Source organism: Homo sapiens, chromosome 21 (genome assembly GCF_000001405.40).
Source record: "Homo sapiens chromosome 21, GRCh38.p14 Primary Assembly".
Taxonomy (NCBI): domain Eukaryota; kingdom Metazoa; phylum Chordata; class Mammalia; order Primates; family Hominidae; genus Homo; species Homo sapiens.
The window spans coordinates 8,099,840-8,111,065 of record NC_000021.9 but is presented as its reverse complement, the minus strand read 5'-3'; the positions used below and the strand labels follow the sequence as shown (position 1 = coordinate 8,111,065).

The 11,226-nt window shown below is 40.8% G+C and overlaps 1 long non-coding RNA gene across 1 annotated transcript; it reads left to right on the top strand.

Moving 5' to 3' along the window:
- Positions 1 to 2,824: 2,824 nt before the first annotated feature.
- On the top strand, positions 2,825 to 9,520 carry LOC124904992 (uncharacterized). The gene is made up of 2 exons (XR_007067802.1): positions 2,825 to 5,010; positions 5,840 to 9,520. It is a non-coding gene; the product is annotated as an uncharacterized LOC124904992 (long non-coding RNA).
- Positions 9,521 to 11,226: the final 1,706 nt, after the last annotated feature.

Here is an 11,226-nt window from a genome sequence, read left to right as displayed (position 1 = left end):
TCTTGCCGCCAGCCTCACACAGCGTGTGGCCATGGTTCCCTGGCCGGCATCAGGTCCTGTTGCACCTGGACTCCAGCTGCTGGGGAGGAACTGGGGGACCTGAGGTGTGGCTTCTGGAACCTCACAGCTGTCACTCTTCTCTGAAGTTGCTAGCCATGAAGAACAGGCTGTGATAAAATCTCAGAGCCATTAAGTGCCTGTTGTTGGAATTGCTTTCATGGCTCATTGAAGTTTGTACTAAGCATGGGCTCTGGCAGTCAGGCAGCTCAAGTAGGGTTCCAGCCACACCATTGACCAGCCCTGCGAGTGGGGCAGAAAGCTCACTACTCTGGCACTTGAGGCATCACGTCGTAAATTTAATGCAACCAATCCCTTTTTCACTGTTACCTACCTTTCTCTATAAACACCATGACCTGATCTCTGCTAGCATTTTTCTTAAAATGGATAAACATATGTTATATAGTATATATTATTCTTCCTCATGATTTTTTTGCTATATTGTCTCTTTCCACTCATATGAGATATTTACAGCAGTTAAGTTCATAGAAACACGAAGTAGAAGAGTAGTTTCCAGGGACTACACAAAGGGCAATGGAAGGGGAGTGTTGTTTACTGGGTACAGAGTTTCACTTTTAAAAGATTGAAAAACAGTTCCTTATGAACTTGGACAATGGTTGCAAAACAATGTGAATGTATTTAATTTCTTTAAACTGCACACAAAAAAAATAATAAAATGGTTAATTTCATGTATTTTTATATTTTACTAAAAGGTAAAAACTACTTTCTAAAATGAACAGACTATAGCTATTTGCAACTGGTGGGTGAATATCACAAATGTAATGTTGCATAAAAGAAAGCAGACATGCCAGTTTGGGCAACATAGTGAAACCCTGTCTCTACCAAAAATACAAAACAATTAGCCGGGCATGGTGGTGCAAGGCTGCGGTCCCAGTGACTCAAAAGGCTGAAGTGGAAGGATATCTTAAGCCTGGTAGGCAGAGGTTGCAGTGAGATCATGCCACTGCACACCAACCTGGGGAAAAGAAAGAAAGAAAAAAGAAGAGAGAAAGAAAGAAGGAAAGAAAGAGAGAAAGAAAGAAGACAGAAAAGGAAAGAAAGAAAGAAAACAGAAAAGGAAATAAAGAAAACAGATGTACAAGTATACATACTATATAATTTTGTTTATATAAAATGCTACAATCAAATAAAACTGAGGTTCTGACTTCCACTAAGTGTGGACTAGCTTGTTGAACTCTCACAAATAACAATGATGAAACTTGAATAAAATATATTATTATAGAAAAACGCCTATGCATAATACATATATGATATGTGTGTTTAACAACTGAATGAAGATTTCAGCTATACCCACTGTAGCGGACATAAGCATTGGTTTGACACTAGCCCAATGAACCCTGTTTATAAAACAAAAGTCTTCAAGGTAAAACAGCAAAATCCAGAGTTTCTATTCTATAATTATCATTTATAGTTTCTAGTGCACAATTTTAAAATTCATAAGACTTGTAAAGAAACGTGAAAATGTCATCCATACACAATATCAAAAGCAGGCAGTAGAAGCTATCCCAGGATGTTGCAATCAGCAGACAAGAATTTGAAGGCAGTTTTTATGAATATGTTCATGGGGAAAAAAGAAAATATTCTATTCATAAACAAACAGATGTGGAACTTCAGCAGAGAAATGAACATATATATAAAAAAATTATAGATAAGGAAATGAAAAAAATCTTTTGAGTTTAGCCATAGATTTAAAACAGAAGACACAGCAATAGAAATTATCCAGTCTGGAAAAAAAAAAGTACAAAAAGTTTAAAGGAAATGAACAGAACTCTCGAGACCTGTGGAATGACTGAGTCTAAGGAGAAGGGAGAGACAAAAAATAATTAAATAGGGAACAGAAGTAAATCAACAACTAATAGCGGAATACTTCCAAAAACTGTCCAAATACCTAAATATTTATATCCAAAAGGTCAATAAATACAAAACAAAATACAAATAAAACCACAGCAAGGCCATATCGTGGTTTATGAAACAGGCAAGGCAGGGCTTTTGCTTGACTTGCTGTGATATCTAATTGCTACTATTTATGGATACTATGGAAATAAATACTAAATAGAATGGGAGATAGGTTATTCTCAGAGTTTTTTTTTTTTTTTTTTTTGCAAAGATGACTGTTATTAAAGGTAGATGACTTTCCAGCATGTCGAAAGGGGCGTGGCAGGGGAGGGGCGAGGAGAAGGGTCGGGGCTGAGGGAGGGGCCCTGCAAAGGTCTGGGCGCGCCCAGCTCCCCGAAAGCAAGCGTTACAGCAACGCTGGGCAGGCTGTTGGAGGCTCCCGGGCTCTGTCTTGTCAGAGAGAAATCAAACTTCAGGCACAAATAGTCGTACAACTGGCACGTGGGGAGACTGTGCCACAATTACAAGTGAGACCACCTGCCCTGGCCACGCTGTCTCCTCGCACGCAGAAGTTTGGGAACAGATAGGCTCCCCTCAGCAGGGCGGAATTGCACTGGAAACATGGAGGGGCGGAGGAGAAGATGAAATTATCCCCTCAGTGTTGGAACTGTAGTCTCAGAGAAGATGAAATTTTCCCCGTAGTGTTGGAACTGTAGTCTCAGATCCACTCCCAGCCTTTCTGTCGCGGCAGTCGGACTATGATCCCAGCATGCGCTGGGCTTAAGGGAGGTTCCCAGCCCTGGAGGAAGGGTCAACAGGGTGGGTCCCTCGCAAGGCGTCCTGGGAGTCATAGTCCTTAAACAGTTTCCAGCACGTTGATCGCAAGGCTACCGAACTACAATGCCAGCATGCACCGGGATTGGGGCGGTGTGTAACGCTGGAGGGAAGGATAGAGAGGCGCGTCCCTGGCCAGGGATGCTGGGAGTTATGGTCTCTTAACGGTTTCCAGCGATGGCCCCCGGCCTGCAGACTACAATCCCAGCAGCCACCGGGCTTCGAGGCGGTGTGTAGCACTGAAGGGAAGGATAGGGAGGTGCGTCCTTAGCCAGGCGTGCTGGCAGTTATGGTCTCTTAACAGTTTCCAGTCAGTTGGTCCCAGGACTACCTGACTACAATCCCAGTATGCGTTGGGCTTGGGGGCGGTGCGCAGCCCTAGAGGAAGGATCGGGACGGCGGGTACCTCGCAAAGCATCCTGGGAGTCATAGTCCTTTCAGTATTTCCAGCCCATTGGTCGCGAGGCTAACGGACTACAATCTCAGCATGCGCTGGGTTTGGGGGCGGTGTGTAGTATGGAAGCGAAGGATAGGGAGGCGCGTCCCTAGCTAGGAGTGCTGGGAGTTATGGTGTCTTAACGGTTTCCAGCCCATTGGTCGCCGACCTGCTAACTACAAAACCAGCATGCGCTGTCTGTCCTACCCCGTGGTGCGCAGCCCTGGAGGGAGGGACAGGGCGGTGTGGACTCGTCCTTTCCTAAGCGATGCCACATGCTGATTCTGTGCCACCCCCTCGCCAAGGGAGTCCGCAGAAGGACTTGAGGGGCAGGTCTAGGCTGGGCGATGAGGACGGTGTGACCCTGCGAAGTGCACCTCCCTTGCTCAAATCGGAGGGGTCTGGTCCTCACTGAACAGCCCGCTGAACATCTCGGTGTCCTCTCACATACACACCCGCGGGGGGTTTCCAGAGCATCGCACCTCTTCCAGCCCAGGGAGCCGCCTGCTCTGCTAAACTCTATGGGAACTGAGACATCCACCTGCTGCGTGACCCACCCGTGCGCAACTTCAGAGCTTTCAGGGGGTGATGCGGGCTGTGGCTCCTTCGTGAAAATGTCACCGTCTGCAGCGCCTTTCTTGTGATATAGAACTTGACGGGTGAGAGCGGGTATTTCTTGGGTTACTCAGGATCTGCTAACAGCAGAGGAGAAAACCACAATTCCCAGGCATAAGAATCTACCTAAAGACGATGGTTTAGATATTTTACAGTTGAAATCACCAGCCTCATCTCAACTGAGTCCTGACTGACGAGTGTCTCAAAAAAGCAGTTGGTGACCTCATCCCTCAGGAACAGGTGGTGCTCCAGCTTTGTGGGGATGACTTTCAAGGTGCAGAGCACTTGAGCCGCATTTGAAGTCATTCATGTTTTACATCTCTGCTTTGGATGGAAAGTTGATCCCCCACAGCCGTTGGGGATGTACCTTAATATACTGGGGCTTATGAGTTAAATTTTTCTGTCTAGACAATGAAAACCCAGAAGTTCCACTTGCAGGTAGCCTCTTAATAATCGACGTCCCTAAGTTCCTTATGTCCTCAGGATAGTTCCTTTTGTTCCCAGATGTTACCAACTTTGATGATGCATCTAATCTGTATAAACCTGTGTATTTCTCTATGTGAAAAGAATACTTTGTTCAAATTACATGTTCTTATAATTTTCACTTGTGATCGGTGAGTATGGGACACTATAAAAAAATCCTGAAAAACCTCATCATAGCAATTGAATCACGTTACTGTACTTTATGAGGAATTAACCCCTTCAGGATGAATTACTCATGGGTTCATCAGCACATTTGTGAAGAAAGGAAGAAAAACTGTATGGCCTTTATGAAATTGGAAAAATAAAGAACTATATATAGGAGGACCACAGCACAATACTAGGGCCCTTCTCTTATTTTAAATAGACTCTATGGGGTCGAATGCCTGCATTCCTAACCTATCCTGCAGTATTCTCATCCTACTCTTCACTGTGTATTTAGGTGTGGGTTTCTGAATTCACTTGTCCACAGCGTTAGTGGGGATGTTGTAACGTGAGGGTATCCATCATCTATCATCTTAATAATTAGTGAAGAGAAGAGCCTTGAGATCTGTCTTCAGATACACTGCTGCCGAGTATGTGCCTGCAAAGACACTGCCCACACCGGTGGTCTCAGAAAGTTGAACCTGATGCCACCACAAGCTGCTGTTCACAGATCTAGGTGCTCCTGGTGATTTGAGTCTCCTGCTTACATTTGTGGTTGTGAACCTGCTATGCTCACCCCATTTATGGTAGTATATTTTGTGTCACCTTTTCTATTCCATTTGTTTCCTGGGAACTCACTGTGTAGCTGCAATTCAGAGAATATGTAGGGATTCCACCCCCGACTACCTAAGTCACTGTACACTGGTCACATTTGTGTCATGTTTTCAGACTACACACTCTTCCTCTCTAATGGAATTTGTTGAAGAAATATAGTTGCCTGTAGATCTCCTCAGTGTAATGTGGCTGGGATTGATTGTGAAGCTGGGCATGTTGTCCTTGGCCTCATAGACATTATTCAAAATACCTTTCCCATATTTTGAAGTTTGATACTACTTTGTTAATGTGAACACTTGCCATAGCAGGCTCTATTAAATATCTCTGTGAATTTAACTGTCAAAACAACTTATGAAGTAGGCACATGATCCCCATTTTACAGGTGAGGAAACAAATGTTCCAAGATTTTGAGTAATTTTATTAACTTTACACAGCTTTCTGGTGCATTTTGAATCTTAAGTTGGATCTCTTTCTCCACAATATATGGGCTTACCTCCTTTTCTATTTTGTGCCTCTCTGCTAGCATCTGCAAGGGTACATTTTATTTTTAGTACATCTTCCACTTGATGGTAGGAAACTTGACAAACAGATCCTTAGTGGGAGAGGAAACTCACTGGCATTTGTCCTTCTCTCTGCTCCTTCTTACCCTGGCAGGCATGAGACTTATCAAGTGAGATGGAGCAGTGGTAGATCCTGACCAGTCCTCACCTGGAATATTTGTTATTATAAAAAAATAGTCCTCTCATTTTTTACAAGTGTAACTTCTTTGCCTTAAAGTTTTGTCTGGGCTTTCTCTTACAGGTTCCTGCGAATTAAGTTGCAAATATTGATGAAGATAATACTACTGCCTTGCTGTCAAACAGTAACAGTCACCTTTTTTTGTATCTCCAATTATAAATGCAATGCGTACTGTAAAAAGAAAAGAAAACATCATAAATATCTTTATAAAGTAAAAGTCTTGGCTGGTCGCCGGGAGCAGTGACTCATGCCTGTAATCTCAGCACTTTGTGAGGCCGAGGTGGGTGGATCATGAGGTCAGGAATTTGAGGCCAGCCTAGCTGACATGGTGGAACCCCATCTCTGCTAAAAAATACAAAAATTAGCTGGTCTCGGTGGCGGGTGCCTATAATCCCAGCTACCCACGAGGCTGAGGCAGGAGAATCACTTGAACCCAGGAGGCAAATGGTGCAGTGAGCCAAGATCGTGCCATTGCACTCTAGCCTGGGCAACAGAGTGAGACTCCATCTCAAAAACAAAACCAAACAAAAAACTTGGTTGGCCTAGTGGCTCAATCCCAGCACTTTGGGAGCCCAAGGCAGGTGAATTGTTTGAGCCCAGAAGCTCAAGACCAGTGTGAGCAACATGGTAAAACCCTCTCTCTACAAAAATACAAAAATTAACCAGTTGTGGTGATGTACACCTGTATTCCCAGCTACTAGGGAGGCTGAGGTGGGAGGATTGTTTGAGCCTGGGAGGCCAAGTTTGCAGTGAGCTGAAATCACACCACTGCGCTTCCATGTGGGCAACAAAGTGAGACCCTGACTCAAAAAATAAAAAACACATTAAACTGAAAGTCCCCTTTATTCCCTTCTCTTCAAACTCACTTTTTTTATTTGAAAAAACTGTTAAGAGGTTGTTTTTTATTCTTCTGGCTAAGTTGTATAAATTTCTTTTTTTTTCGAGACAGACTCTCGCTCTGTTGTCCAGGCTGGAGTGCAGCGGCGCGATCCCGGCTCACTGCAAGCTCTGCCTCCCGGTTTCACGCCATTCTCCTGCCTCAGCCTCCCGAGTAGCTGAGACTAGAGTTGCCCGCCACCACACCCGGCTAATTTTTTGTATTTTTAGTAGAGACAGGGTTTCACCGTGTTAGCCAGGATGGTCTTGGTCTCGATATCCGGCCCCCTGATCTGCCCACTTCGTCTTCTCAGAGTGCTGGGATTAGAGGCGTGAGCCACCGCCCCCGGCCTGTTCTATAAATTTCTAAGTGATACACACATAAAGTTTATTTTAAAAATTACATCACACTACATTAAAATTTACTCTTTCTCCAGGTGTATTCCATCTATCTATCTATCTATCTATCATCTATCATCTATCTATCTATGACAAGGCCTTGCTCTGTCACACAGACTGGAGTTCAGTAGCTCAATTATGGCTCACTGCAGACTCAAACTCTCAGGCTCAAATGATTTTCTAACTTCAGCTTCTGAAGTAGCTGGGAGTACAGGTGCATGCCACTACTCCTGGTTAATTTTTAGTTTTTGTTTGTTTTTTTCTTTAAACAGGGTCTCACTGTGTCACCTGGGCTGGAATGCAATGCATAATCACAGCTCACTCTAGCCTTGACCACTCAGGCTCAGGCAATTCTCCTGCCTCAGCCTCCTGAGCAGATGGGACCACAAATGTGTATTAACACACTTGGCTGTTTATTATTATTTGCAGAGACAGGGTCTCCCTATCCTGCCCAGGCATGTTGTGAACTCTTGTGCTTAAGCAATCTGCTACCTCGGCCTCCCAAATTGCTGGAATTACAGGTGTGAGCCACCACAACTTACCCAGCCTTTTTACTTTGTGTAAGAATAGCATCAGTGTATTAAAAATACAACGGAAATTATTTATGGTGTCTTTTCAATTCTTATGCATTAAAATTCTCTTATTAGGGCCTTTTATTAATGGTTACAGTGTATTTTCTGTGAAATTTTACTGTCACACACTGCATGCCAATGATTCAAGATACCCGAACTTCATGAATGCACAGTCACAGTAGAATATTTTAGTTATCTAAAAAGTATTTTCATAAATGATATATCAAGTTTATATGCAAGGTAGCCTGGTCTGGTAGCAGGTGCTTGTAATCTCAGTGAAGGCTGAGGCAGGAGAATGGTTTGAACTCAGGAGGCGGAGGTTGAAATGAGCCGTCGTCTCGCCACTGCACTTCAGCTTGGGTGACAGAGTGAGACTCTGTCTCAAAAAAAGAAAAAAACTTTGCTTGCAAGATTTTATGAGTAAATATGTTTCTTATTTTTCTTTACAATTCCATATTACTGTCTCGATTATTTATAATAGGTTCCAGGGCAGCAGTTGATTTTATTTTGGGTTTTACTTATGTATTATAACTTTGGATGTTATAATTTCCAACTCTGCCTGTACACTTCAAGTCAATGTGGATTTTTAAAAAAATGTTAATAGTACAAACTATTCATAGATTCAACTTCGTAATGTTAAAAGCAACGGCAGCTCCTGGTTTAAAAAGGGAACGGTGGAAGCAGCCGGCCATTTTATTTAAAATCGCGTTAGATTTTTCAGAAGGATGATAGTTAAGATCATTAAATCCCATTACTGCTTCTAAGATTTCCACAAAATAGCACATTAAATCCTCAGTCCTAAACAATCACGACAGAGATTCAAAATTGCCTCTCAATGTCAAGGTAAACAGCGCACTATCTTCTCTTGCAATAAAGGTACATCATTTGATATACAAGGGAGCATAGCAGTCAGACACTTACAAGATCGTGCTGTAGAAATAACTTCCATGTTTTCATCCGCCATGTGTATCCTCACCTCTGTCTCCCATGCAGTAACACTATCAGTTTCCTCATCTGTCCTTTCTACTTTCTTTTAAAGAGGAGGCTGATTGCAGACAATACATGACAGAGGCATTTCAAATCAGAAAGGAGTTTCTTGAGATATACGTGATTTTAGTTTTAAGTAGAATGTCCTGAAGAGTTTTAGTTACAATACCACCTTCAAGAGGATGGTGGTGAAATTCATAGTAAACATTTGGCAAAATATAGGTTATGAGGCAGCCATCTCCTAGAAACACTTCATCGGGGTTTATATATGAAATGTGAAATATCGTAGGTTTAATCCTGGCACAGAACCAAAACTGAGTGCATTGCACTTGAACAGCTGACCAATCCCCAGCACAGGTCCATATGAAGAAACGGAGAAGAAAGAATCCTTTTAACCACAGAAAGGTCTTCATTTGCCCAAACTGAAAACCAAATTTCACTCAGGAAACTAATGTTGGGTTTAATTAAAATATAAATCGGTCATACGTTTTCAAAATTAAATTATATATGTGTTTGTCTCTATAAATATGTCCCCAACTTTGCTCATGGCTTATCTTCCATATTTTTTGGCTGATTTTCAGTGGTTGTCTTATCTTGTGTGGATGAATAGTCATTGAAATAATCTTAATTTCACAATGTGTTTAATTATAAATCTATACTTCCTTTGTGTGAGAGAAAATCTTTTGTGAACAAAATTTAATTTTTGGAAAGCTTTATAAGTCCATATTTTTCCTTTTAAAAATTGCGATTGTGGTAAAAACACATAATGTAAAATTTACCATTTTAATTCTTTTTAAGTGTATATTTCATTAGCGTTAAGTACATTCACATAGTTATGCAAAAGATCTGTAGAACTTCTATGTCTTGCAAAACTAACATTAAATGTCTTTTAAGACAATTGCCCATTTTACCATCTCTTCAGTCCTTGACAAACACCATTCTAACTTTTTTTTTCTATGAGTTTGTCTACTTAAGATACCTGATTATGAATGGAATCATAGACTGTCACTTTGTTCCTGGCTTATTTCAGTTAACGTGATATTCTCAAGAATAATCATATAATGTGACTTTTTAAAGACTGAATAATATTCGACTTTGTGTATGTGCCACTTGTTGTTAATCTCTTCATTGGTCAAGGGACAGCTGGGTTGTTTCTGCCTTTTGGCTTGTGTTAGTAATGCTGCAATAAATTTGGGTGTGCAAATATCTCTTCCGGATCATGTGTTGTATATTTTAAATACATAGCCAGAATGGGGTTTGCTGGATTGTATAATAATCTCATTTTAAATTTTTTGAAGAGCTTTCATACTATTTTAAAAATAGGTTTGATGTGATAGATTATTGTGACTTTTCTTTGTATTTTTCTAGAAGAGAGTTGTCGAGTATCCTTTTAAATGCCTAGTCATTTCTATGTCTTCTTTGGAGAAAGTCATTTCAAACATGTGCCATTCTAAATCAAGTTATTAACTTTTTTTGTTGTTGAGTTTTAGGAATTTATATATTTTGAAAATTAACACCTACCAAATATGTGATTAGAAAATATTTTTACTCTTTTTAGTTATATGTATGTATGTATGCATATATATAACCCTATACAAGACAGGGTCTTGCTATGTTTTCATGGCTAGTCTCAAACTTTTGGTCTCAAGTGATTGTTCTGCCTTGGCCTCCTAAAGTTGTAGAATTAAAGGCATGAGACACCATGCCTAGCTTTCACCCACTTATTAGGTGACGTTTGTATGGCACTAAATGTTTTATTTGATGTGTAGAATAGTTGAAGCTTAATGTAGTCCCTTTTCTTGGTCGTTGTTCTTTTCCTTGTTGCTTATGAATTTGATGTCAAACTTAAGGAAAGAGTTTTAAGACTTATGTCATAAACTTTTCCCTTATGTTTACTTCTAAGAATTTTATTAGGTTTTATGTTTAAGTATTGAATTCATTTTAAAAACTTTTCTTTTTATATATGATACAAAGGAAGCATCCAACTTTATTTTTTTCTCTGTAAATATTCAATTTGGAAAACTCTTTGTTAAATGGATTCTTATTTTTCTATTGTGTGGTCATGGAAAGCTTACGGAAGATTATTTTATCACATATGCAAGGGTTTATTTCTGGGATCTCTATTCTGTTTCGTCATCTATGTATCTGTTTTTGTGGCAATACCACATTGTTTTTATTTTTGTAGCTTTGTATCATGATTTTGAATCAGAAAATGTAATACCTCTTTGTTCTTTTTAAAGGGTGTTTGGCTAGTCACCTGTCCTAAGCAACGTTTAGAATTATACACAAAAATTCTGCAAAAAAAATACCATTGGGATTTTGACAAAAATTACCTTACATTTTTATATCATCATGAGTAGTACTGACAACATTTTTTTTTTTTTTTTTTTTGGAGATGGAGTTTTAGTGAGTCACTCAGGCTGAAGGGCAGGGGTGCGAGATGTGCTCACTGCAGGCTCCGCTTCCCAGGTTCAAGCAATTCTCCAGTCTCAGCCACCAGAGTAGCTGGGATTGCAGTCGTGCACCATCACGTCTAGCTAACTTTTGTATTTTTAGTAGAGATAGGGTTTTGCCATATTCACTAGGCTAGTCTCAAACTTCTGATCTCAAGTGATC